The sequence below is a fragment of the Homo sapiens genome, chromosome 22, assembly GCF_000001405.40.
Source record: "Homo sapiens chromosome 22, GRCh38.p14 Primary Assembly".
Taxonomy (NCBI): domain Eukaryota; kingdom Metazoa; phylum Chordata; class Mammalia; order Primates; family Hominidae; genus Homo; species Homo sapiens.
Genome location: NC_000022.11, coordinates 44023569 through 44050217, shown reverse-complemented (window position 1 = coordinate 44050217; position 26649 = coordinate 44023569). Strand labels below are relative to the sequence as shown.

General features: G+C 49.9%; 1 protein-coding gene across 5 annotated transcripts in view, besides 15 other annotated features; it reads right to left on the bottom strand.

Moving 5' to 3' along the window:
* Positions 1–26649, bottom strand: part of PARVB (parvin beta) — a 173729-nt gene that overhangs the window by 122722 nt on the left and 24358 nt on the right. For 2 of the 5 annotated variants that reach the window (NM_013327.5, XM_017028792.3), the window contains exon 1: positions 25767–25916. The exons of 2 other annotated variants lie outside the window; for them this stretch is intronic. In NM_013327.5, coding sequence (NP_037459.2) covers positions 25767–25878 — 112 coding nt within the window. In that variant the 5' untranslated portion in view covers positions 25879–25916. Of the gene's footprint in view, positions 1–23841; positions 23915–25766; positions 25917–26649 lie in introns of those variants that run through there. One more of the 5 variants, NM_001243386.2, reaches the window with a different exon arrangement.
* Positions 726–1674: an enhancer, noted in NCBI's record as "H3K4me1 hESC enhancer chr22:44444424-44445372 (GRCh37/hg19 assembly coordinates)". NCBI's record gives its function as "activates a minimal SCP1, AML or CMV promoter by ChIP-STARR-seq in naive H9 embryonic stem cells {active_cell/tissue: H9 hESC(naive)}" and the evidence as "EXISTENCE:reporter gene assay evidence [ECO:0000049][PMID:30033119]".
* Positions 3589–4138: an enhancer, noted in NCBI's record as "H3K4me1 hESC enhancer chr22:44441960-44442509 (GRCh37/hg19 assembly coordinates)". NCBI's record gives its function as "activates a minimal SCP1, AML or CMV promoter by ChIP-STARR-seq in primed H9 embryonic stem cells {active_cell/tissue: H9 hESC(primed)}" and the evidence as "EXISTENCE:reporter gene assay evidence [ECO:0000049][PMID:30033119]".
* Positions 7929–8038: an enhancer, noted in NCBI's record as "active region_19204". NCBI's record gives its function as "activates an Ori minimal core promoter by ATAC-STARR-seq in GM12878 lymphoblastoid cells {active_cell/tissue: GM12878}" and the evidence as "EXISTENCE:reporter gene assay evidence [ECO:0000049][PMID:35858748]".
* Positions 11697–12229: an enhancer, noted in NCBI's record as "H3K4me1 hESC enhancer chr22:44433869-44434401 (GRCh37/hg19 assembly coordinates)". NCBI's record gives its function as "activates a minimal SCP1, AML or CMV promoter by ChIP-STARR-seq in naive H9 embryonic stem cells {active_cell/tissue: H9 hESC(naive)}" and the evidence as "EXISTENCE:reporter gene assay evidence [ECO:0000049][PMID:30033119]".
* Positions 22769–22928: an enhancer, noted in NCBI's record as "active region_19203". NCBI's record gives its function as "activates an Ori minimal core promoter by ATAC-STARR-seq in GM12878 lymphoblastoid cells {active_cell/tissue: GM12878}" and the evidence as "EXISTENCE:reporter gene assay evidence [ECO:0000049][PMID:35858748]".
* Positions 22939–23248: an enhancer, noted in NCBI's record as "active region_19202". NCBI's record gives its function as "activates an Ori minimal core promoter by ATAC-STARR-seq in GM12878 lymphoblastoid cells {active_cell/tissue: GM12878}" and the evidence as "EXISTENCE:reporter gene assay evidence [ECO:0000049][PMID:35858748]".
* Positions 23649–23758: an enhancer, noted in NCBI's record as "active region_19201". NCBI's record gives its function as "activates an Ori minimal core promoter by ATAC-STARR-seq in GM12878 lymphoblastoid cells {active_cell/tissue: GM12878}" and the evidence as "EXISTENCE:reporter gene assay evidence [ECO:0000049][PMID:35858748]".
* Positions 24259–24308: an enhancer, noted in NCBI's record as "active region_19200". NCBI's record gives its function as "activates an Ori minimal core promoter by ATAC-STARR-seq in GM12878 lymphoblastoid cells {active_cell/tissue: GM12878}" and the evidence as "EXISTENCE:reporter gene assay evidence [ECO:0000049][PMID:35858748]".
* Positions 24379–24428: an enhancer, noted in NCBI's record as "active region_19199". NCBI's record gives its function as "activates an Ori minimal core promoter by ATAC-STARR-seq in GM12878 lymphoblastoid cells {active_cell/tissue: GM12878}" and the evidence as "EXISTENCE:reporter gene assay evidence [ECO:0000049][PMID:35858748]".
* Positions 24469–24548: an enhancer, noted in NCBI's record as "active region_19198". NCBI's record gives its function as "activates an Ori minimal core promoter by ATAC-STARR-seq in GM12878 lymphoblastoid cells {active_cell/tissue: GM12878}" and the evidence as "EXISTENCE:reporter gene assay evidence [ECO:0000049][PMID:35858748]".
* Positions 24559–24638: an enhancer, noted in NCBI's record as "active region_19197". NCBI's record gives its function as "activates an Ori minimal core promoter by ATAC-STARR-seq in GM12878 lymphoblastoid cells {active_cell/tissue: GM12878}" and the evidence as "EXISTENCE:reporter gene assay evidence [ECO:0000049][PMID:35858748]".
* Positions 25409–25618: a silencer, noted in NCBI's record as "silent region_13863". NCBI's record gives its function as "represses an Ori minimal core promoter by ATAC-STARR-seq in GM12878 lymphoblastoid cells {active_cell/tissue: GM12878}" and the evidence as "EXISTENCE:reporter gene assay evidence [ECO:0000049][PMID:35858748]".
* Positions 25669–25718: a silencer, noted in NCBI's record as "silent region_13862". NCBI's record gives its function as "represses an Ori minimal core promoter by ATAC-STARR-seq in GM12878 lymphoblastoid cells {active_cell/tissue: GM12878}" and the evidence as "EXISTENCE:reporter gene assay evidence [ECO:0000049][PMID:35858748]".
* Positions 25789–25908: a silencer, noted in NCBI's record as "silent region_13861". NCBI's record gives its function as "represses an Ori minimal core promoter by ATAC-STARR-seq in GM12878 lymphoblastoid cells {active_cell/tissue: GM12878}" and the evidence as "EXISTENCE:reporter gene assay evidence [ECO:0000049][PMID:35858748]".
* Positions 25939–26048: a silencer, noted in NCBI's record as "silent region_13860". NCBI's record gives its function as "represses an Ori minimal core promoter by ATAC-STARR-seq in GM12878 lymphoblastoid cells {active_cell/tissue: GM12878}" and the evidence as "EXISTENCE:reporter gene assay evidence [ECO:0000049][PMID:35858748]".

Genomic DNA, 26649 nt, shown 5'->3' with positions numbered 1-26649 from the left:
AACAGAGGAAGGCATTTACACCTTAAGACGGCCGCATATCTGAAGAAGTGTAAAGGCAGTGGCAGCAGGACAGGAGAGCCGCCAACGAGACTCTGCCCTCCTGATTAGGAGCTGGGAGAGGAGGCCCGTTCATCTGAGGCAGGAAGAACTAAATACGGCTGGGGCAACCCTCCCTAGGCTGTACCACGAGAAGCCAGTGAGTGACAGCGAGTCCAGGTGCAGGCACATTTCCGCAGCCACATGCCCACAATATGGAAGTGTAGGTAAAACAGAAACCCCAAACTCAAGTAGGCATGGGGCTTATTCACAGTACAACATCGAGACACACTCCCCACCAGAGCCACACAGAGGCTGAGGCCAAGGCCGGGACGGCTTTGGCAATAAAACCTACTCACTCCATGTGCCAGATGGCTGAGCCCCCAAATGGCCCGTTCCCGGGCAGAGGTCTCCTGCTTTAATAGGAAGAAAGCACCAATTTGAATTTGATTTCCAGCCAGTATCTCCAGGGCTATGGCAGCCCCTAGGGTTCCTTGCAACATGCTCAGAAACAGGGCTTCAAATTGGATCACTCCAGCAACAGAGGAAAATAAAAGCCAATCAATGGGGCTGTGCTGGGAGTGGGGCCGCTTCCTCAGCAGGCCTTTTATCGCTGGAGGAATCTGATTGACCTCGAGCCGCAGCCTGCACGCAGTGCATCCTCTGCACACATTTTCACTCCGCAGATATTTTTATGCCCGTGAAAAAGAGTGGAGCAAATCCAAATTTAATCAGACAAGAGCTAAACTTGAGAAACGAACCTCAAATTTAATCAGACAGGAGCTAAACTTGAGAAACGGACCTCCGATTCTTGTCTAGGGCCTGAAGTGAGAAAGGGGGCTGGGAGGAGAAAACGGGTCCCTAGCTTTGCTGATTGTCTACGCCAAGCACTATGGGTATTGTTCATTCTGACACCAGCACACACAGCAGCTCTCAGAACATTTCCACCCGGAGATGTCTTCAGTGAGAGGTGCATTCAGCCAGAGACCTGGTTTCTCACCCTCTCTCAGGGCCTCAGTTTCCTCATCGTAAAATGAGACTCATTTTCATCTCATTTTGCAGGGGAAGTGGCACAGGACAGAGGGCACCAGCCCTGGAGCCGGAAAGCCTGGACCTGCAGCCCGGATCCGAGGCCATGTGGCTGGGAGGACTCCACACTTCTGTTCCCTCCTCGGCAAAATGGAGTGAAATAGGCCAGGCGCAGTGGTTCACACCTGTAATCCCAGCATTTTAGGAGGCCAAAGTGGACAGATCACCTGAGATCAGTAGCTCGAGACTAGCCTGGCCAACATGATGAAATCCCACCTAAAGTACAAAAATTAGGCCAGGCACAGTGGCTCATGCCTGTAATCCCAGCACTTTGAGAGGCCGAGGCAGGCGGATCATGAGGTCAGGAGTTTGAGACCAGCCTGACCAACATGGTGAAACCCTGTCTCTACTAAAAATACAAAGATTAGCCAGGCATGGTGGCGGACTCCTGTCATCCCAGCTACTTGGGAGGCTGAGGCAGGAGAATCGCTTGAAGCCTGGAGGCGGAGGTTACAGTGAGCTGAGATTGTGCCACTGCACTCCAGCCTGAGTGACAGAGCAAGACTCCGTCTCAAAAAATAAATAAATAAAAATAAAATTAAAAAATATAAAAATTATCCGGGCATGGTGGTGGGCACCTGTAATCCCAGCTACTGGGGAAGCTAGAGCAGGAAAATTGCTGGAACCCAGGAGGTGGAGGTTGCAGTGAGCCGAGATCACGCCACTGCACTCCAGCCTGGGCGACACAGCAGGACTCCATCTCAAAAAAAAAATTCGAGCGAAATTATTACCCTCAGTTCATGTGCCCCCAAAAGATATGTCCACATGGTCATGAGTGCTCTCCACATAATTAATGCCAGGAATTATTTCAATTACAGAAATAACAAAGTTGAATGATTTGCTCAACGAGACAAGTGCTTTCAGTTTCATTCTGCACCAGGCTTTCAGGCCCCAGTGAAAAAGTATCAAGAAGATTTCAGTCTCGCCTCTCCTATGGGCCTTCCAGGAAGCTCAACTCCACATTCTGCACAGCTCTTCTGTGTCCGCGCATCTGTTCTGCCTGCCTGAACCCCCATCCTCTCCAACTGCAAAGCTGCCCCATCCCGCCCACTGGTCCTGTGGGGAATGGCCAAGCACACCTCACTGATGGCTGGAGACAGGACGGAGCTGGGGGTTCCCACACCATCCAGCCCCACAATTGGTCTTCCCCGGGGCTGACTCAGGGGAGCCGGAGGGGAGGCACCGCCCACCCCCAAGATGCTGAAGGGATGTGAGGCCATCCCCTTTGTCCACCAATACACATACACAAGTAGATTACACCAACGTCAAATACCTGGGTCAAGGCTCCCTGAGATTACAGGCTCTTCTATGGGGAATTATGCCCCTCTTTCCCCAAAAAAAGATATGTTGGAATTCTAACCCCTAGAAGCTTGTGGCTTCCATAACTGTGAGAGAATCCACTTCTGCTGGGTTTTTTATTTTTTATTTTTTTTAGATGGAGTCTGGCTCAGTTGCCCAAGCTGGAGTGCAATAGTACAATTTCAGCTCACTGCAAACTCCGCCTCCTGGGTTCAAGTGATTCTCCTGCCTCAGCCTCCCAAATAGCTGGGATTACAGGTTCATGCCACCATGCCCGGCTAATTTTGGTATTTTCAGTAGAGATGGGGTTTCGCCATGTTGACCAGCCTGGCCTCCAACTCCTGACCTCAAGTGATCTGCCTGCCTTGGCCTCCCAAAGAGCCACCCAGTGTCTGGTGCCTTGGTGCCACAGCCCTGGGAGATGAATACAGCGACCTAAGCCAATATGTGTTTTGCTTAAAATAATGCAGCTGTGTTTCTGTTTTCTTAGAAAAGAGCATGGCACCTCCTTCCTCTCCCTTTCTTGCTCCCTCTTCACCTTCCACTATGAGGAGAAGCCCCTGAGGCCTCCCCAGAACCAGATGCCAGTGCCACGTACAGCCTGCAGAAACAGGAGCCAAGTAAACCTCTTTTCTTTATGCATTAGCCAGCCTTAGTGTTCCTTTATAGCAACACGAAATAGACTAAGACGGGGCACAGGCTCCATGTGAAGCTCTGCTCCTCCATGGATAGGCCTGGTGGCTCCAGGACAAAACACCTCTCTTCACCTCTGCCGGTGGGGGAAGGAAGACAAACTGTAGCTACGGCCCCCGGGCCATCCCCACCCCCCGCACACCGACCCAGGAGCCAGTTCTCAACTCTGCATGCACGCCCCCGCTAAATCCTCTAAACCATCTTGAGATTAGGCTGCTGCTCTCCCGGCACTGATAAGGACCTCAGCAGAGGCTCAAGTCAGCAGACTCTGGCCTCAGTCTCCAAGTTCCCATCTCCTGCCACCCCACACTGTGCTGAACTTTGAACACAGAGACACTGGTGGGAACACCCCAAGGTCTGGGATTCTGCCAGAACCTTTTGTGGAGTTATCACATCACTCCAGCCAACACTATGAAAGTAATAAGCACCTTTAATCAAGTGTGTCCAGGGACTGTGTGGGGAGATAACATGTCATCGGGGCCAGCCTGCCGAGGCTCAATGATTGTCAGCGGGCAGTGTTCTCTGTGCCAGACCCAGGCGTCTATCAAACATGCCAAGTAACCACAGGAGAGCCAACTGTAGGCCCCCTCAGGGGCCATGGGCTCTTTCCCACTCCTGCAGTCAGCTCCTACCTTGCAGGCCAAGCCCAGCAGAGATGCATCCCCCACTGGTGGTCAGTGATATCCCATGATGAGGGTGAGGCGCCAGGTCCTCTGACATGGATGGCCAGCCTCAGGACGCATCTCCTAGCACCAAGGAGCAGCTCTGTTGTGCTAAGGGTCCTACTCCAGATCAGTACACTTCTGACTTCCTGCAAGAAAAGTGGCCAGAACTAGGCAAGTAGGTGACACAGACACCCTGCAGTGCAAGACAAGGCTGCAGCTGGGCTCAGCGACCACTGGCAAGGACAACAATCCCACTGACAACAGCATCCGAAAGCATAAGCCACCCAGGGATAAATCTGCCTGGAGAGGCAAGAGACTCGTACCCTGAAAACCACAAAACATTGCGAAGGGAAATTAAAGAAGACTTAAGGAAGTGGAAAGACATCCTATGTTCATGGACTGGCAGACTTCGTGTTGTTAAAGATACTACCCAAAGCAATTCTCAAATTCAGTACAATTCCTCCCAAAATTCCAATGGTGGCTCGTTGCAGAAATAGAAAATCACGCCCTAAAACTCATACGGAATCTCGAGGGATCCCAAATAGCCAACACAAGGTTGAAGAACAAAGTGGGAAGTGTCATATTTGCCAATTTCAAAACGTACTGCAAAGCTACAGTGATAGAGACAGTGTAGTACTAACATAAAGACAGACCTGTTGATCAACATAATAGAATTGAAAGCTCAGAAATAAATCCATACATTGATGATCAACTGATTTTCAGCAAAGATGCCAAGATCATTCAATGGAGCATCAACAGTGCACAACAAGATGGAGACAAGAGTGATGGGAGAGTCCCAGCCCACTAGTGCCATGTGGGCAGGGCCAGTCTCTCAAGCAGGACCACTCACTGGATCTCCAACCCCCAGCCCCATACCTGCTCTCAAGGGGAGCTCAATAATCACCTTGAATGAATGACTGCATGCCTGGAAGACAGGGTGATCAATGAATAACTGAATGAGCAAACAGGAGTTGAAACCCCAGGGTAACACATGAGACACCAGATCCAACAATGATTTCTCAAAAGAAGTTGGGCTCCTCAACACTCACCAACACATTTTCCTCCTTACATCTCTCTTAGCAACATTTTAAAACTATCATTTTGACTCAATGAGTCATAAAATCCATTTAGGAAACTGTGACTAGCATATTTTATGTATGTATGTATTTATTTATTTATTTAGACAGAGACTCTCTCTTTGTCACCCAGGCTGGAGTGCAGTGGTGCAATCATAACTCACTGCAGCCTCAAACTCCTGGGCTCAAGCGATCCTCCCACCTGAAAGCCCCCTGCCCCTGCAGGGGCACCTGTGGCTGGGACCACAGGCACACAACACAACGCCAGACTAATTTTATTTTTTGTAGAGATGGGGTCTTGCTATGTTGACCAGGCTGGTCTCAAACCACCGGGCTCAAGCAATCCTCCTGCCTCGGCCTCCCAAAGTACTGAGATTGCCTGGACAGCACGTTTCTTTAATGAAATGAAAGAACAGTAGAGTAGCAAACGTCAGTGTGCTTATAGGAAGATATCATTTCATGAAACTTTTATTCATGGATATAGGTAAATGTATGCTTGAACTGGGGTTTTTATGGAAATATATTTCTTACCATGGATCCAAAATAAAAAGAGAGTTTAAAAGTTGCTCTCCCAAGCCAAGCACAGTGGCTCATGCCTGTAATCCCAGCACATTGGGAGGCCAAGGCAGGTGGATCACTTGAGGTCAGGAGTTTGAGACCCACCTGGCCAACATGGTAAAACCCCGTCTCTACTAAAAATACAAAAATCAGCTGGGTGTGGTGGTGCATGCCTGTAGTCCAAGCTACTCTAGAGGCTGAGGCATGAAAATCACTTGAACCCGGGAGGCAGAGGTTGCAGTGAGCCAAGATCATGCCACTGCACTCCAGCCTGGGCGACAGAGCGAGATTCCATCTCAAAAATACAAAACAGGCCGGGCGTGGTGGCTCACGCCTGTAATCCCAGCACTTTGGGAGGCCTAGGCGGGCGGATCACGAGGTCAGGAGATCGAGACCATCCTGGCTAACACGGTGAAACCCTGTCTCTACTAAAAACACAAAAAATTAGCCAGGCACTGTGGCGGGTGCCTGTAGTCCCAGCTACTCGGGAGGCTGAGGCAGAAGAATGGCGTGAACCCAGGAGGCAGAGCTTACAGTGAGCCGAGATCGGGCCATTGCACTCCAGCCTTGACAACAGAGCGAGACTCCATCTCAAAAAAAAAAAAAAAAACCACAAAAAATGCTGCTGTCTCAGTTCAGAGGTTTTTGACCATTTGTGGGCCCCTAAGAATGTGATCAAAGTCTCTGTCCAAAGTGTGTGAGATCAGGCAAAACAGTGCACACAATTTCTGGGGGTTTCCTATTGTCACTTGCTCAATGAGGACATATTATCATACCTATCTCAAAAGCCTCATAGTCCTAATAAGACAATCTGCGTACAGCACCAAGCCCAGCCCCTGGCCAGTGTGAGACCTTGATATGGGACAGCTGCCACCACTGCAGGGGCAATGAACAGGAAGATGAGGAGGAGGAGGAAGACTGAAAATTCCATGTCTGTCCCGGATCCACCCGCCCTCACCCCAAGGTGAAAGATCTCACCTTGGAAACATGCAACGAATACCAACTGGAGAAAAACATCTCACAAGCTCTGAGCGCTGCCTCTCAGTACCACGCTATTTTTTTTACCAGCTTTATTGAGACAGAATTCACATTCCATACAATTTGCCGTTTTAAAGTGTACAATTCGGCTGGGCGCAGTGGCTTACGCCTGTAATCCCAGCACTTTGGGAGGCTGAGGCAGACGGATCACGGGGTCAGGAGATTGAGACCATCCTGGCCAACATGGTGAAACCCTGTCTCTACGAAAAATACAAAAAATTAGCCAGGCGTGGTGGCGGGCACCTGTAGTCCCAGCTACTCGGGTGGCCAAGGAGGAGAATGGCGTGATCCCGGGAGGCGGAGCTTGCAGTGAGCTGAGATCGCACCACTGCACTCCAGCATGGGCGACAGAGCAAGACTCCGTCTCAAAATAAATAAATAAATAAATAAATAAGTGTACAATTCAATGATTTTTAGTAAATTCACAGAGCTGTGTAACCATCACCATTGTCAATGTAAGAACATTTTCGTCACCCCCAAAATAATCCCTGTACCCATGAGGGGTCACTGTACCTTCCCCAGGCTTTGGGAACCACTAATCTTACTTTCTGTCTCTATCAATTTGCCTATTCTAGATATTCAAATAAATGGAATCACACAGTATTTATCCTTTTGCAAATGGCTTCCCTCACTGAGCCTGTTTTCCAGATTCACCCATGTTGTAGCATGGATCCATATGTCATTCCTTTTCGTTGCTGAATAGTATTCTATCGTATGGATGGAGCATAGTTTGCTTATCCACTCATCAGTTAACGGACATCTGGGTTGGGTCCACTCCACGGCAACCACAGAGTGCGCCAGTAAACCTTAAACAAACACAAGTCTCCTTCGGTAACAACGCTCATTCTCTGGTTCTGATCAAGCCAGCTAAGTATTTACAAAAAGGATATTCTTTTTTCTCCAGCAGATCTTCTACACAAGAAAATTAAGAGCTGTAACAAAGCAGGGCTCTAGGAAAGAAAAACTAAATAATAATTGTAGAAACATGTCCTTGCAATGAGGCCCAAGCAAAGAAACAAAATAAAATAGAAACAATGCCCAGCTGCACACACAGTTAAGATTGAAATTCTCCCTGCGCTGCTCCAACAAAATTTCAAATCATTAAAATCTCATTATACTAATAATATGTTTTCCAGATAAATTTAACTAAAACACTCTCTTCCCCTAACAAAGTGCAGACGTTCTCAGCAGCAGCAGTGCAGGACGTGTGAAGACACGGGCCAGTTCCCAGGGTGGCGTGTCTTCTCGTCCCATCTCTGCAAATGCCTACAGCTGTAACCACATCACAAGTGACAGCTTACTGGGGAGATGAGCCTCTACAGTTCCAAAGCCCCAGCCCCTTCACTTCGGAGTCTCGCTCTGTCACCCAGGCTGGAGTGAAGTGGCACAATCTCGGCTCACCGCAACCTCCGCCACCCGGGTTCAAGCGATTCTCCCACCTCAGCCTCCTGAGCAGCTGGGATTACAGGCACCCACCACCAGGCCTGGCTAATTTTTGTATTTTTAGTAGAGACAGGGTTTCACTTGTTGGCCAGGCTGGTCTCAAACTCCTGACCTCAGGCAATCCACCTGCCTCGGCCTCCAAAAGTGCTGGGATTACAGGCATGAGCCACCGCGCCCAGCCTAGATTTTCTTAAGTGAAAGCAATTCTCCCAATATGTCATATGGCCTCATTGTATGTTTATTATTTCGTCTGCTCACCACCAACCCAGCCCCTGGTCTCTTCTCTTCCCAGGCCTCTTCTCCACCTGATGGATAAAGTGGGGGAGTGGCCGTGGTGGCAATAAGAATGGAGATGAGATGCCAATGAGAACAAAGGCTGACACCTATGTAGGGTATGTATGAATGTATGTATGTATTTATTTATTTATTTATTTTTGAGGCAGGGTCTCGCTCTGTCACCCAGGCTGGAATGTAGTGGTGCAATCTCGACTCACTGCAGCCTCAGCCTTCCATGCTCAAGCCATTCTCCCCCTCAGCCTCCGGGGTAGCTGGGACCACAGGCATGGGCCACCACGCCTGGCTATTTTTTTCTATTTTTTGGTAGAGAGGGGGTCTCACTATGTAGCCTAGGCTGGTCTCAAACTCCTGGGCTCAAGCAATCCTCCTGCCTTAGCCTCCTAAAGTGCTGAGATTACAGGCGTGAACCACTGTGCCTGGCCTGTAGGGCTTTTATTATGTATCAGGCCCAGTCATTTCCCCCCAGTATTTCATTATTAAAAGTTTCAAACACATAGAAACATCTAAAGAACTTTATTTTATTTTATTTTTTGAGAGGGAGTCTTGCTCTGTCACCCTGGCCGGAGTGCAGTGGCACAATTTCAGTTCACTGCAACCTCCACCTCCCGGGTTCAAGCGATTCTCCTGCCTCAGCCTCCCAAGTGGCTGAGACCACAGGCATATGTCACTGTGCTCAGCTAATTTTTTGTATTTTTGTAGAGATGGAGTTTCACCATGTTGGCAAGACTGGTCTCGAACTCCTGACCTCAAGTGATCCACCCGCCTCGGCCTCCCAAAGTGCTGAGATTACAGGCATGGGCCCCCACTCCCAGCCAAGTAAAGTTTGAAGTGAACACTTGTATACCCACAGCCTACAGTCCACCACCCACCTTTGTCTATACTTGTTTTATTCCACATCCGTCCATCCCTCTATCTATCCAGCAATCCATCAGCATTCATTTCCAATTGCAGCTGGAAATAATTCCCACAAACTGTGGGACTTCATACGACACAAATTTCTTTCTTTTTTTTTTTATTTTTTGAGACAGAGTCTTGCTCTGTCGCCCAGGCTGGAGTGCAGTGGCGTGATCTCGGCTCACTGCAAGCTCTGCCTTCCGGGTTCACACCATTCTCCTGCCTCAGCCTCTCGAGTAGCTGGGACTACAGGCGCCTGCCACCACGCCCGGCTAATTTTTTGTATTTTTAGTAGAGACGGGGTTTCACCGTGGTCTCGATCTCCTGACCTCATGATCCGTCCACCTCGGCCTCCCAAAGTGCTGGGATTACAGGCGTGAGCCACCGCGCCCGGCCTCCATACGACACAAATTTCTATCTTGTGGTTCCGGATGCCAGGACTCCAAAATGGGTCTCACTGGCTAAAATCAAGGTGTCAGCAGGGCTGCATTCCCTCTAGAAGCTCCAGGAGGAAATCAATTTCCTGGCTTTTGCAGCTTTCAGAGGCTGCTCACATTCCTTGGCTCCTGGCCCCACATCATTGCAACTTCCACCTCCATGGTCACTTCTCTCTGACTCTGACCCTCCTGCCTCCTTCTCATAAGGACCCTGGTAATCACGCTGGGCCCACCCAAATAACCCAGGCTAATTCCATCTCAAGGTTCTTAACTTAATCACACCTGCAAATTCCCTTTGACCACATAAGAGAACATATTCTCAGTTTCCAGGTATTGGAATATAGACATTTTTGGTACTACTATTCAGTCTACCATATCATCTTTTTTTAACACATTTCAAAGTAAGTTGCAGACATCAGTACTTTTCCCTCTAATCACACACATCACTAATTAGAGTTCAGTATTTATTTATAGTTCTTTTATTTCCTTGGAGTTAAAAGGTACATGCCATGAAATGCACAAATTTAAAGTACACATGCAGAGTTTTGACAAATGCTGCACCTGCGTATCTCAAACCACTCTCACTGTAAAGAATATTTTCATAACAACAGAAAATCCCTCCTGCTCCTCCCCAAGCAACTCCTGCCCACAGCCCCAGAGGCAACCACCACAGATTAGCTCTGTCTGCTGTAGAACATTGTAAAAGTGAAATTAGCGGGGTGTAGTGGTACACACCTGTGGTCCTCGCTCCTTGGGAGGCTGAGGCAGAAGGATCACTGGAGGCCAGGAGTTCGAGGCTGCAGTGAGCTATGACTGCACCACTGCACTTCAGCCTGGGCATCAGAGTGAGATCTCATCTTTGAAAAAAATGAAATGAAATGAAATCACACAGTGTGTACTCTTTTGGTCTGTCTTGGTTTGCTCAGCATAGTGGTTTTGAGAGTCTCGGGTGATTTCCTGTACCGGCACCTTGTTCCTTGACACTGCCCAGGATCATTCCGTCCTGTCAATTACTGCTGTCCGTGTATCCATTCACCTACTGATGGTCCCCAAGCTGTTTCCAAGTACCAGCTCTTATGAATGAAGCTGCTATGAACATTCCTGTACAAGAGTCTTCTTACAGATTCCTACTTTTTTTTTTTCTTTCTTTTTGACAGAGTATCACTCTGTTGCTTAGGCTGGAGTGCAGTGGCACGATATTGACTGCCACTGCAACCTCCACCTCCCGGGTTCAAGTGATTCTCCTGCCTCAGCCTCCCAAGTAGCTGGGATTACAGGCATGCACCACCACGCCCAGCTAATTTTTATATTTTTAGGTTTCGTCATGTTGGCCAGACTGGTCTTGAACTCCTGAGCTCAGGTGATCTGTCCGCCTCAGCCTCCCAGAGTGCTGGGATTACAGGAATGAGCCACCGTGCTCAGCCACAGATTCCTACTTCTGTTGAGCAAATCTATCTAAGATTTACTGGAATTGCTGGGTCATAGGAAGGATGGTTACTTGATTTTAAAAGAAACTACCAAGCTGATTTCCTGAGGGGCCACACCACTGCACATCCCTCCAGCCTGAGTGAGTAGCAGCTGTCCTATTCTCACCACATCTTCCAGCCTTTCCCATGGGTCTGCGGGGCATTCCCTGTTCTTCTCATGTGCATTTCCCAGGTGGCTGGTGACGGGGAGCACTTTTCCAGATGCATATTGGCTATCTGTCAATCTTCTTTGGTGACGTGTCTGTTCAAACCCTTTATCTATCTATTCTTTTACTGCGTTGACTGTGTTTTTATTCTTGAGTTGCGGAAGTTCTCTCCATCTCCTGGACCCCAGTCTTTTATCAAACATGTGTTTTGCAAACATTTTCTCCCACTCGATGGCTTGACCAGGTCCAGCTTTTTTGTTTTTTGGTTTTTGGTTTTTGAGATGGAGTCTCACTCTGTCGCCCAGGCTGGAGTGCAGTGGCGTGATCTCAGCTCACTGCAACGTCCACCTCCTGGGTTCAAGCTATTCTCCTGCCTCAGCCTCCCGAGTAGCTGGGATTACAGGCGTACACCATCACGCCCAGCTAATTTTTGTATTTTTTAGTAGAGATGGGGTTTTGCCATGTTGGCCAAGCTGGTCTTGAACTCCTGACTTCAAGTGATCCGCCCACCTCAGCCTTCCAAAGTGCTGGGATTACAGGTGTGAGCCACCACGCCCGGCCCCAGGTCCAGTTTTAAGTACATCATTTCATTTAATAACTCACTCAATTCTCTAATGACCCTATGAGTTAAGTAGGCTTTACAGAAGAAGAAACTGAGGCACAGCGTGGGGAAGTACCTTCCCCAGGGTCACAGCTCCAGGGCCCAGAAAGATCAGTTCAAGCCCATGCAGTCTGGCCTCAAGAGCAGTCACCCTAACCACTACACTAGACTGCCTCTTGCTTGCTGGGCAAATACACAAAGATCACTGTAAATGGTCATCATTATCTCCCAGTGAAATGGGAATGCACCACACCCCAGGAAGACAGGAACTGTGCCAACAACCTGAAACAGGAATGCAGGGACATGATGGTGCCAATGGGCAAAGAGGGGCCCCCACCCTGCTGGAGGTGCAACATTTAAGTCAACAGGGCAGAGAGTTGTCAGATCAGAGAGAACAGGGGACGTGAGGGCTTTCAGCCAAGGAAGATCATGGGACCCACAGAAAGCAAACGAAGACCCCATGGCCAGGCCAAGGGAGAAGACCTGGGAGCTGGAGCTGGAGCTGGGCTGGGCTGGGCTGGACAGGCGCTGGGTGGCTGGCGAGAATCTGGACTTGGTCCTGGAGTAGCATGAAGCCACTAGGGTTCTGTCTTCTTCTTATAAACACCAACAAGTTCATTCAGCACAAAAAGGATCTAATGTGTCTCCTCTAGCGCGTCTTCCTAACACTGGGGCTGGGTGCAGCTTAAATGCCAGGAATGACATCAGCTTACTAGGAGCCAGCTGGGAAGATGACTCCCATCTGAATCATTCTTCCAGTTTAAGCAGGGTCAGCGGCAATGAAGAGCCACACTGCCTGGAGTTAAATCTCACCTGCTGGCAGGATGACCTCGATCCTCTCTAAGCCTGTGTTTGCCCATCTGCAAAATGGGAATAACCACATAACACCGACTTCCCAGCTTGGTGTGAGGAGTAAACAAGGTAATAATGCAGGAAGCATCTAGCACAGCACCTGGGACATCAGCAGTGCCCAAGTCTTAGCTACGGTGTGATTATTATAAGCTCCATTCTGATTTGTTTTTGTTTTTGTTTTTTTGAGACAGGGTCTCAGTCTGTCATCCAGGCTGGAGCAAAGTGGCACGATCTCAGCTCACCGCAACCTCCACCTCCCAGGCTCAAGCGATCCTCCCACCTCAGCCTCCCGAGTAGCTGGGACTACAAGCAAAAGCCACCATGCCTGGCTAATTTTTGTATTTTTGGTAGAGACAAGGTTTCACCATGTTGGCCAGGCTGGGACTACAGGCATGTGCCACCATGCTCAGCTGTTTTTTCTTTTTTTGTTGTTGTTTTGTTTTCTTTTGCAGAGACGAGGTCTCACTATATTGCCCAGGCTAGTCTCAAACTCCTGGGCTCAAGCGATCCTCCTGCCTTGGCCTCCCAAAGTACTGGGATTATAAGCATTTTTTTTTTGTTTTTAATCTTCCTTTAACTTTTACCCTCACTTCTCAGATTATCTTTATTATGATTATTATTTTGATGCAGGGCCTCACTCTGTCACACAGCTGCAGTGCAGTGGCGCAATCATGGTTCACTGCAGCCCTGATCTCCTGGGCTCAAGCCAGCCTCCCACCTGAGCCTCCCACCTGAGCCTCCCAAGTAGCTGGGACCACAGACGTGCACCACCACGCCTGATTGATTTTTTTTTTAATTTTTAATAAAAAGGGGTTCTCTCTATGTTGCCCAGGCTGGTCTTGAACTCCTGAGCTCAAGTGATCCGCCCATCTCAGCCTCGCAGAGAAATGGGATTACAGGCATGAGCCAACGCACTCCTTCTATTAAACTTATATATATCAAGTATAAACTCATTTAGATTTTACTTTGAAAGACATTACAGTTGACTCTTGAAAAACACAGGTTTGAATTATATGAGTCCACTTACATGCAGATTTTTTCCAATAAACATATTGGAAAATTTTTTGGAGATTTGTGACAATTTGAAAAAACTGCAAACCACGTAGCCCAGAAATATTTTTAAAAATTAAGAAAAAGTTAGATATGCGACAAATGCATAAAATATATGTAGATACTCATCTGTTTTATCATTTACCACCATAAAATACATACAAATCTACTATAAAAAGTTAAAATGTATCAAAACTTACACACACACACAGACTGTGTTCACAGTTGAGAGAAATGTAAACAAATGTAAAGATGCAGTACTTATGTATTTATTTATTTTATTGTATTTATTTTATTTTTTTGAGACAGTCTCATTCTGTCACCCAGGCTGGAGTGCAGTGGCATGATTTTGGCTCACTGCAATGTCTGCCTCCTGGGTTCAAGTGATTCTCCTGCCTCAGCTTCCTGAGTAGCTGGGATTACAGGTGCCCACCACCACGCCTGGTTAATTTTTATCTTTTTAGTAGAGACAAGGTTTCACCATTTGGCCAGGCTGGTGTCGAACTCCTGACCTTAAGTGATCCGCCCGCCTCGGCCTCCCAAAGTGCTGGGATTACAGGCGTGAGCCACTGCACCCAGCCAAGATGCAGTATTCAATAATAACTGCATAAAATTAACTGCAGTCCATACTGCACCACTGTAATAGTAGCCGCCTCCTGTTGCTATTGCATTGCTTAGAACATTATTTGATGTTAATTATCTCCACTTGAGCAGTTCACCGCTCCAGTAAATTCCATATCATAGTAAAAAAAAAAAAAAGTGATCTGTTTGGGTTCCCACGTATTTTTCATCATGTTTAGTGCAATACCGTAAACCCTGAATAACACTATGGGACTCATACAAAGCACCACTTGTGTTGCTGTAAGTGCTCCCAAGAAGCCTTGACGGACGGGCGCGGTGGCTCACACCCGTAATCCCAGCACTTTGGGAGGCTGAGGCAGGCGGATCACAAGGTCAGGAGATCGAGACCATCCTGGCCACCACGGTGAAACCCCATTTCTACTAAAAATACAAAAAAATCAGCCGGGCACGGTGGCACATGCCTGTAATCCCAGCTACTTGGGAGGCTGAGGCAGGAGAATCGCTTGAACCCAGGAGGCGGAGGCTGCAGTGAGCCGAGATCGCACCATTGCACTCCAGCCTGGGCAACAGAGCGAGACTCCGTCTCAAAAAAAAAAAAAAAAAAAAGGAAAAAGAAAAGAAGAAAAGCGTGACATTCCAAGAAGCTGAATAGCTTGAGATGTTGTATGGTAGGGTGAGGTCTGCAGCTGCAGTTGCCGGCCACTTCAGAGCATTCATCTTGTAAACGCATGTTGTAAACGTGCAGCATCAATAAACACAGCACAGTACTATAAATGCATATTCTCTTCCTTATGATTTTCCTAATAACATTTTCTTTCCTCAGGCTCACTTTGTAGTAAGAATACAGCACATAATGCATAGAACATACAAAATATTGTTAATTGTTTATGTTATCAGTGAGGCTTCCAGTCAACAGCAGGCTATCACTAGTTAAGTTTTGTGGGAGTCAAAAGTTACACATGGTGGCCGGGTGCAGTTGTTCATGCCTGTAATACCAGTACTTTGGAAGGCTGAGGTGAGCGGATCAACTGAGGCCAGGAGTTTGAGACCAGCCTGGCCAACATGGTGAAACTCTGTCTCTACTAATAATACAAAAATTAGCTGGGTGTGGTGGTGCACGCCTGTAATCCCAGCTACTCGGGAAGCTGAGGCAGGAGAATCACTTGAACCTGGGAGGCAGGGGTTGCAGTGAGCCAAGATTGCACCACTGCACTCCAGCCTAGTGACAAGAGCGAAACTCCGTCTCAAAAAAAAAAAAAAAAAAAAAAGTTACACGTGGATTTCTGACTGCATGGGGGTCAGTGCCTCTTTCCCCCTGTGCTGTTCAAGGGTCAATTCTATTAATTTTAAAACAAAAAGAAAAAAGACAGGGATGAAGACACTTCAAATTAAGCTATGGGCCAGATGCTTCTCAAGAGCTGGGCATGGTGGTGTGCACCTATTGTTTCAGCTACTCAGGAGGCTAAGGCAGGAGGATCCCTTGAGGCCAGGAGTTCAAGGCTACAGTGTCTGATGATCTGGCCTGTGAACAGCCACTGCACTCCAGCCTGGGCAACACAGCAAGACCCCCATCTCAAACATATATATATGTATAAAGACCCCCATCTCAAATATATATGTATAAAGACCCCCATCTCAAACATATATATGTATAAAGACACCCATCTCAAACATATATATGTATAAAGACACCCATCTCAAACATATATATGTATAAAGACACCCATCTCAAATATATATGTATAAAGAATATATATTCTTTATAATATAATTATAATTATAATTGCTGTTGCAGTAAAAGAATGCAGACACAATGCAATGAATTCCAAAATTATTCTTTATATTCTTTATACATATATTCTTTATATATTTTTATTTGTATGTTCATATATATATATATATTCTTCAAATTCCATTTATAGCAAAAATAAACTCTGAATACCATATGCGCATGAGGCCCCGCCCCGGACCTCCCCCTTTCTCCAGCCTTGTCAGGGGCACTCCATCCACATGTTTAAAGTGGGGCCTGGTCAGTTCTAGTTCCCTGGAGTCTGGAGTAACTTGAGAAGCAGAAAACAACAAGGGCAGACAGGGCTCCGCTGAGACAGCTGCTTCCAGGAGCGTCTGGATTTGAGCAAGCAACGTACGCAGGCCCTAGGAGTGCTAACATTTTCACTCCCTCTTTAACTTTTTAATAGCTTAACATTCAAGTCTAGATCCTGTGGAACTGTAATTTTTCAAATGAAAACACGTATAATAATGCATGACTTTGTAAGAGAACAAGCAAAGAAATTCCTAAGATGGCGTTGCTTGGGGAAACCAACATTACCGACTGATTGTGGGTGGCTGGCAGGTAAAGGTTCAAAGGCCAAAACCAAGCTCATCACTTCAAGTGGCAAAGCTTAAAGGAGCAGGCCTCCAACTACTATCAGGCAAGCGTAAAGAACTCCCACTCAGAGACTGCCAAATGTTCTCTGATGCCGTAGGCTGGTGAGGAAGGCAAAAATGCCTCCTGGTGCCCATGTGAGTTGCCCTCACATTTCTGGGTACAAGGAATTCCAGCTCAGAAACACCTGCTTCTCTGCACACGCTAAACAGTTACTCAGCCAAGTATACCTCAAAAAAGTATTGGGGGCCGGGAGTGGTGGCTCACTCCTGTAATCCCAGCACTTTGGGAGGCCGAGGTGGGCGGATCAGTTGAGGTCAGGAGTTTGAGATCAGCCTGGCCAACATGATGAAATCCTGTCTTTACTAAAAATATAAAAAATTAGCTGGATGTGCTCGCTTGAACCCAGGAGGCAGAGGCTGCAGTGAGCCGAGATCATGCCACTGCAGTCCAGCCTAGGCAACAGAGCAGGACTCTGTCTCAAGAAAAAAACAATAGCACTGGAGATGCTTCCTAGCCACAGACAGCTAGGGGAAGAGTTAAGATACCAACATTCTCACTGCAATATCTTAAACGATTCACACAACTTTTGTTACCAACAGCCAACTAGCTGTTGCACGGCACTCAATGGGAATAAAGCAGCCAGTGCTGCTGAAATGACACAGCACTAGAGCTGGAAAAGGCTCCTGTTCTGGGGGTGACAGCCACTCAGCAACTAACCCTCCATACACACTGGTAGTGTGGCTGACTGGTCCCAGCATTCTTTTTCCCTAAGCCCAGACTCAGCCACAGAATCCTTCTCAACACAGGGTTAGGTACTTGTCCTAAACTGAGCTGACTTGCCACTTCTGCTGTACCACGTACCAGCTCTGGACTCTGGTGTCTGCGTCAATGCCTCCAGTCATCCACATTCATCCATAACGAATTCTGATTGAGCGCTCACTCAATTGCTGATGAGGCTTTCCTTCCTTACACCACAAGTGCTGCTTTGCTCCACAAGGGACCATCAGGAACAGAGGCTTAGAGAGAAGAAGCAACAGATCCAGTGCAAGGAGGCGGACTGCACCACCGCGACGGGCATTCTCAGAACCAGGGCAAACTCAGCAGCTCAGAAACGCAGAGCTGGGATCTGCCCACACTGCCCCATATTAGAAATGAAGAAATGGGCCCCCAAACTTTAACACACATAGCCTCAAAGGGTGCGTTCAGTCCCCACGGCCCAGACACTCTTAGTCAGAACATCAGAGGAGGTAAAAGACTCCGCTGGTTTCCCAGGGCTGATCATGTTACTACCCAGATGCTGGGAGCCCTAGAGACTGGACGAGGCCAAAACTGCTGCTCATTCCATTTTTTTCTTGTAACCAGAGAGAAGGCTCTCATTTGAATATGTCAGCCTGAGGTATCTCAAAGTTGCAAAGCCACAGAACACTTCTAGGATTGATTGCATTGTGTCCGCCTTCTTTTACCAAGACAGCAATTAGTATGGATAAGCAAATTAATACCATTGGGCCAACGTATGCTTATAATATCCTCCAAAGCTTATTAATCTGTTTTGCAGCCTCTATGTGATGTAACAAATAGCAGACATATTAGGAGATAAACCAATTTTTCACCTGAAACCTAAAGTGTAACATGTACAGCTAAGGCAGAGACATTTTCATAGGGTATGTCTTTTATGTGATGGAACCGCATGTTCGAAAAGAAGAAAACAGCTCGGTAAAGGTACCTGCCCTGTGCCAACCACAGCAGGGAGGAATCAATCCAACGGAGCACTTAAAATCCATACTCGCAGCAGGGATGAACCCACTTACATCCAATAAACACCCCTTAATTATTCTGACGACTGGACAGGGAGCGCGAGGGTAAGCAATTTCAGGATGTGCAATCGATATTAATTCCACAGCGGTGGGGAGGGAATCAAGGCAGAGTCCCTTTGATGAGTGTGGGGTTGCCAAGGTGATCTGACTCTGCTGGGAGGTTTGTAACCAAGGTGCTAGGAGAACCACCGAGAACCTGCCCTTCCTCCCCAAGCCCCGAAAGGCAGGGAAGAGTCATCACTTGTGGCCAAGCAGTGCCTTTACCTTTTCTACAGAAGCAGAGTTTCCGACAGCTCTTAGTAGGCCTTCAAGAAAACAAAACAAAACAAAAGAAAACAAAAACACCCACGTGGTGCAGGTCGACTTTGCTGCCCCGGACAACAGAACGCATGGGCGGAACACACAATGAGAAATGTAGGGTTTGAAGATTATAGTCAGAATAATAATCAAAGGAAATGTAGCTGAGCCACCCACTTCCTCTCAGCCCAAGAGGAAAGAGATAGGCCCTCACTGGAAAATGGTCTCCAGGGAGTTCCACTCACCACCCTGAGGAGCGTTTCCCATGAAGGTGCTGGGCAGCGTCGCAGTGACCTCACTGTGCCTTTCCTTCTTGGACCAACAGCTGTCCATCCCCAAACGGAGACGGCCTCTGCTCGAAGGAGGTTTGGGTTTAGAGATAACAGTGTGGAATTGTCTTTCTCTTTGTTGGCAGGGTCTGTAAAGAGCCTCACAACACAACAGCTCCAAATAGGACCTCCACCATCCCCTCTTCCCCATAGAAACCACAGTGACTATGGCCCTGGTCCCTCACCTGTCTATATCCCCCAACTTCGGACCAGCCACTCCCCCTTTTCGTTGGCTAGGAGGCCCGCTGGCCTTCCCAACATGCCACAGCCACTTTTCTACGGGCCCTGACGCTATCAGAGGGGTCACGTGAGCACAGAGGGCCTGGAAACGAGAAGAAGTCTGAAAAATCGTCCAAAAGAGACCACACTCCTTGCAAATCCTTTCCCACCCCTCCCACAAACAAGGATCTGGGTCCTTTTTCATTTCAGCATCAGAGGGGCTGCAGCCCGCTAGAAAACAGCGTGGAAATCACAGCCACGCCTGCGCCCACCCACGCCACCTCCTCGGGGCACTGCCTGTGCCCCGTGCCACATTCCTGCCAGCCTGCCTCCCCGCCGTTCCCCCATTCCGTCCATTCCCCACTCCCCAAAGCACCACTGAAATCGGCCACCCCTGCCAAGCCCCAGCAAGGGTTCCAAGCTCCTGTGTTTGTGGGACGCCAGGGCTGCTCACCTCTCCAGCCCCCGACCAGGGCTGGCCACAGCCCACAGGCTGCACCGTTGCTCAGCCACTGGGAGCCTGCCTGGGGGTCTCCTCAGGAGCCCCCTCCCCCTCCCTGGGCTAATTTACATCCATCCTAGACATTCAGCCAGGACCACTTCCTCCAGGGAGGCCCAAAACCCCAAGTCTGGGTGGTGAGACCCCCATGGCTCAGTCCCCCCATCTGCCTGTCCCTCAAACTGTCCTGAGTGGGGCCTGAGCCAGGGTCTCACCCACCCCCAGCTCCCAGCCCAGGCGTTGCTGGGGGGAAAGGCGGGGGCAGTGCAGGCCCCCCTGCCACAGCTCCCCTCCCTTCACTGGTGCGTCTTAGTGTTTTGGGGCAACCCATCATCTACACAACTGATGGCTCCGTGTAAAAGATGGATGCCCTGAAGGAAATTCTCGGTTGCTGGTTTAGAGCTTTGAGATTTCTCTCCTGAAGGTTATTTAAAGTCCACAAAGAAACTTAATACTTTCAACCTTCAGTTCAATGTCGCAGCTACCTAGTGATTTCTTTTCTTTTCTTTTTTTTTTTTGAGGCAGAGTCTCGCTTTGTCTCCCAGGCTGGAGTGCAGTGGCGCGATCTCAGCTCACTGCAACCTCTGCTTCCCGGGTTCGAGTGATTCTCCTGCCTCAGCCTCCTGAGTAGCTGGGATTACAGGTGTGTGCCACCACGCCCGGCTAATTTTTGTATTTTTAGTAGAGATGGGGTTTCACCACGTTGGCCAGGCTGGTCTCAAACTCCTGACCTCAGGTGATCTGCCGCTTCAGCCTCCCAAAGTGCTGGGATTACAGGCGTGAGCCACCACGCCTGGCTAATTTTTCTATTTTTAGTAGAGACCGGGTTTCCCCACGTTGGCCAGGCTGGTCTCAAACTCCTGGCCTTAGGTGATCCACCTGCCTCAGCCTCCCAAAGTGCTGGGATTATGTGTCTGGCCTAGTGATTTCTTTAGATCTAGTTGATGAGGTCTCAATATCTTGCTCATTAATCATTAACTCTACATCAAATGCTTAGGAGATATCAGGATCAAGAGACAGGGAAGACAAGCCGCTGGCTGGGAGAAAATATTTGCAAAACACATGACTTGTATCCAAAATATATGAAGAACACTTCCAACTCAACAGTAAGGAAACAAACAAGCAGATTTAAAAATAGGCCAAGGCCGGGCACTGTGGCTCACGCATGTAATCCTAGCACTTTGGGAGGCCAAGGCAGGTGGATCTCCTGAGTCCAGGAGTTTGAGAGCAGCCTGGGTAACATAGCGAGACCCCATCTCTACAAAAAATAGAAAAATTAGCTGGGCATGGTGGTATGTGCCTGTAGTCCCAACTACTCCAGAAGCTGAGGCATGAGGATCACTTGAGCCCCAGGAGATTGAGGCTGCAGTGAGCCAGGATCGTGCCACTGCACTCCAGCCTGGGCTACAGTGAGACCCTATCTCAAAAATAAAATAAAAATAAAAATAAATAAAATACAAATGAGCCAATGACCTTAATAGACACTTCACTGAAGAAGATACACAGATGGCAAATAAGCATCTGAAGAGATGCTCCACTTCATACCTCATCAGGGAAATGCGAATTGAAACAGCAACAAGACACCACAATACACCTAACAGAATTCCAAAATCCAGAACACTGACACCACCAAATACTGGTGAGGATGCAGAGCAGCCAGGACTCTCGTTCGCCACCGGTGAATAAATGTGGCACAGCCACTTTGGAAGAGAGTTTGGCAGTTTCTTCCAAAACGAGACACACTCTTACCATACGATCCAGCAATTGAGCTCAAATGAATTAAAACCTTATCTCCACACAAAAACCTACACGTAGATGTACACAGCAGCTTTATTCATAACTGCCAAAACTTGGAAGCAACCAAGATGTCCTTCAGCAGGTGAATGGATCAACAAACTGGCACATCCAGACAACGGAATATTATTCAGTCAAAAAAGGAATGAGCTACCAAGCCCTGAGAAGACATGGAAGGGCCTTCAATGTATATCATTGAGTGGAAGAAGCCAATCTGAAAACGCTACTGTACACTTTATGATCACAACTAGATGATAGTCTGGAAAAGGCAAAAACACAGATACAGTAAAAAAAACAAAAACAAAAACCAAAAAAACAAAACAAAAAAATGATCCGTGGTTGCCAGGGATTTGGGGAAACGGAGGGATGCATAGGCAGCAGAAAGAGGATTCTGGGGTCAGTGACGCTGCTCCAGAGGTGACTGTAATGGTGGGTCCATGTCACTCTACATCCATCCAGAGCCACAGAATGTCCAACGGCAAGAGCAACCCCTAATGTAAACTATGAGCTTGCGGAGATAATGATGTCTCAGCGTTGGCTCACGACTCTACCACACAGCCGGGGGGCACTGATGGAGGTGAGAAGGGATAGGTGGGGACACTTTGTATTCTTTGCTAGATTTCGCTGTAAACCTAAAACTGCTTTAAAAATATACGTCAATATATATATGTGAATATATATACACACACATGAATATATATATATATATATATATATATGGTTTTTTTTTCTATTTGATATGGAGTCTCACTCTGTTGACCAGCCTGCAGCGCAGTGAGGCAATCTCAGCTCACTGCAACCTCCACCTCCCAGGTTCAAGCGATTCTCCTGCCTCAGCTTCCCAAGTAGCTGGGATTACAGGCACACGCCACCATGCCCGGCTAATTTTTGCGTTTTTACTGGAGATGGGGTTTCACCATGTTGACCAGGCTGGTCTCGAATTCCCGACCTCAGGTGATCCACCCACCTCGGCCTCCCAGAGTGCTGGGATTACAGGCGTGAGCCACCTCACCTGGCCCACACATACATATTTTTTAAGGTAATCAGGGGATAGAAACTTCCTGAATGTGTTGCTCAGAAAAGAGGGACAGAACCTCCAGACTGGCTGCTCTCGCCCCGCTGCCTTCAGCTGTCTCTGAGAAACCTGACCCTGGCCACTGGGCAGTGGCGCCTGAGGTCCAGTGCCTGGTGCAGCACAGAACAGGCCTCTTGTGGCAAATGTGTGGAGCACTCCACCCGACCTCTTCCACACTGGCCAGGGCCGGCCATCCGCCTCTGAGGACTTCCAGCAGCAGCTGGGCTGTCCCCGACCTCCATCCTGGCCCACTGGACCTACAGGGCCTCTCATCACATGGTCACAGTGGGGAACCCTGTGTGTTGTTGGTCTTCTCTGCACACGGGCTCCTCCAAGCCCCAGTAAAGCTGAACCCAAGTTTGAAACACGCTGTCCTTTCACGTCCCCAGAGCTTCTGTGGGGAGCCCTGGGGGTTTCCGGCGTTCCTTTCCATTTTCTGAATGCCCACAGTTCGTCACAGTTCCCTTTTCTGACCCAGGCCACCACGTGACACGCCTCCCGTAGCACATCAGCCTTAATCACGCCCACCGTGAAGCTCATTCTCAGACACTTCCTGCACTGCTTCCTCCAAACCCCAGGGCCCCACATTTCCTAACCCCTCTCCTCTGGAACAGGCCACGTCACTCATCCCAACCATCCCTCCCAAAAGTCCCTCCGTGCCTTGTCACACCCCTGCCTGAATCTGGAACCTCACCGATGAGCCCGCCCCTTCCCCCAGCTTCCCCCTCCTCCCTTAGAGTCCTCAACTCAGGAACATGTCGGAGCCACATCCGTTCTCCCAAATCCACCCTCAACTTTCTAACAAAGGAGGAAATGAAGCCGACGGTGCAGCAGGCAGGGTCGTGGAAACCTCCCAAGCGCCCTGTCACTCCCTGGTAGGCAACCGAGCATAGCTCTGACGGCCCAAAGTCAGGGCCAGGGGCTGCTCCACCCTGGAGTGGCAGAAGCGCATGTTGCCAAGGCAAATGGGCTTGCGGAAATACCAGCGACTCTCAATTATTCAAGCCCTCATTATCCAGTCTTCCTGACTCTTCCACTTCCCAGGAGACCACACAGAAGCCGCTAAACCCTTCCCAATCCAGCCTGTCCCTCAATTCCTGTGCCTAGATCCAAGGAGGGTTTGTGGCCCTCTGTTTGCCAGGCACCCCAACCCTGAGAACCGAGGCAGGGCGCCCAGCTCACCCCCAGCGAAAGCAGCATCAGCAGTGCCCGGCGTCCTGCTCCTCCTCCTGCCTCCACGCCCGTTCTATTCAGCACAGGATGCTTCCTGCTACCGGAATTCTTGGTGCATTTGAATTAAACCAGGCTGGGCCTGAATTTTCTAGACACACATCAATTCATACAGGCAAGGAGGAGAAGCACTGCGTACTTTGGAATTTGGGCCCAGTCCATTACTTTGGGTGTGTGTTCTTCCTATTCCGAGAGCGTAAACGGCACCTAGAAAAAGCTGCAATAGCCCAGAACATTCCGGTTCCTTGCCATTCTATGAAAGACTTTTTCCTCTGGTTCCTTCTGGCCTCCACTCAAGTGTCCCCTCCTCAGAGGCCTCCCCTGGCTCTGATCGCCCTGTTCTATGTGCTCCGGGGCACGTCATCACAGCGCCAGTTGTCTATGTATTCATTCCCCGTTCCACGAAAGCAAGCACCCCGCCCCCGCTCTTTTCTTCCTGGGGTCTAAGCAGCACCTGGCCCATGGCGGGCGCTCCACAGGCTGTGGGCTGAATTGGGAGGGGAGCGTCACTTGCGTCTATAATCGTTGCAAGCCATAAAGAGGAACCGAAATGATTTCTGGTGAGGGTGCTGATGACTGCATGGAAGAACAGTGGGGATGATAGAAGGGTGACAGCCACTAATCATGTCATTTAGGAGACGTGACCAACACCGACCAATACAAGCTACAGTGGGTCCTCCAGTGTAAGGCTTGAGAGAAGAGTGACCTATCCGCCAGGAGACCTACTGAAGGGGACAAGACCCTGCCCTCTTGGAACAGGATCACGGGTGGGAAGACACGCATCCCTGGGGGCACAGGCATCCCTGGGAGAAAATGTCTGGGGAACCAAGCGTTCCCTGCACTGTACAAAAATCCTGGGGAGCAGGTGCATGGGGGCACACACATGCCTAGAGGCAAATCTGTCATATGTCTTCCCGGGGCACACACATCCCTAGGAATACAAGAGTCCCAGGGAAGAAATGAATGGGGGACCTGCATCCCGGGGTACACTAATCCCTGGAGGCACAGGAAGAGTTCCCAGGGGATATGTCAGGCCCAGGTGGTTTAAGGAAACCGTACTGCATACCCGCTATGGGAGGGCTCCTTCCCGGGGACCCACCTGAGGCCGGCCTTTCTCCATCTGCCTTTCCACAGCAGCTCCCCTCACCTCTCACCAATCCGAAATCTCACTATAGGGCATGGTCCCGGGGCAGAACCTCCCCACCCAAGCAGAAAATTCCAGAATGTATCTCCCAGGAGGCCCTGGGCAAGCGGTACACTTAAAGACACCAGACTATCCCTTGCAACTCTAACAATCTTTAAAACGTACGAGGTTGGTAGTGTTTCGTGAGCACACGCAGTAAAAAATTTAAAAAAAAAAATTTTTAATGGGATCTCTGCAATTCTTGCTCGCAGGCCTCCCAGGCCTCAGCCCTGCACGCCCTGAGCCCCGCACCCTGCAGGGCGCCCGCGCAACACCCAGTAGTGGGTCCCCCAGGCCGTGTCTGCCCAGAGTGCCCTGCACACGTGAGCGTCACTGCTCATGGAATGAACGGTCACCCCGCGCGGCTGGCTATGCCGCTGGCCCAGGGAAGAGCTGAACACCCGGCAGGCAGAGCAGGCGCGGGCCCCGCACGGTGGCCCGAGGTCCCCGCCGCGCAGGCGCCCGCACGCGCGTTTGGCAGACTCCGGAGGCCACCGCGGCCCCACGCGCCAGGTCCCGGCCGTTGTTTACGGGTCCTGGGTCAAAGGCCTGGCCTGTCCCGAAGGTCGCGCAGCCGCGTGGGCCGGGCGGGGTGCGTGGGGGAGGGCGGGGGCGGCCTCGTGGGGCTCTAGGGCCGAGGGCGGGCACCGCCGGGCAGGTCCCCGGGGGTCGGCGGGCGCGGGCGCGCACTCACCCTCGCGCGCCCTCCGCTTCCTGGCCAGGGTGCCGCCCAGCTTGCCCAGGAACGACTCGTCCTTCTTCATCCTGCGGGGCCGCGGGGTGGGCGAGCGCGGCGCGGAGGACATGGGCCGCGCGTGGGGCCGGCGGCGGGCGCAGCGCGTGTGGAGCCGCCCGGTCGCCCCGGGGAGAGGCCGAGGGCGCGGCCCCGCCGCCGGCCCCCGCCCCGGTCCCGCCCCCGCCCCTGGCCTGGAGCGCGGCCCCGGCGTCCCGGATGCCCGAGGCCTGCTGGTCCCGGCCAGAGCCGTCCCCGTCCCGCGCCGCCGCTCAAGCTCAGAGAAGGGGCGTGGGGCCACCCCGGGAGCGGCGCAGCCTTTTCCCTACGCGTTGGAGCCCTGGGCTCTGCTCGGCTCCGCTAGTGGTGCCGGATCCAGGCGACAGCGCGACAGACACCATTGCCACGTGGGTGCAGCCTCAGGACGTCCTGAAAGCCGGAGAGAATCAGGTCACACGAACGTGGCCGGTCTGTTGTTAAGCTTCTGCCAAGAGCCAGGCCCGGGGCAGGGGGAGCCCTTCAGAACTGGGAATTGTCCCTACCCACGGGAAGCTTAGAGGATGGAGGGCAATGCGGGGCACAGGTCATTGGCCTGACCTCCAAGGGGAGTTCCAGGAGTTGTTTCTGGAAGAGGCGACGGGGAGGCCCCAGGAAATGGCTTGCAGGCCGGTACCATGAGGTGAGCAGAAGAGCAGGCCCTGGGGACAGTGTGGGGTGCCAGGGAGGGGAGAGGAGGGGAGACAGGCCTCGCATGTGTTGGAAGCAGAGGAAACGGCTTCATCCCGAGGACTGCCAGACAGGGCTATTTTTATTTTATTTTATTTTATTTTATTTTATTTTATTT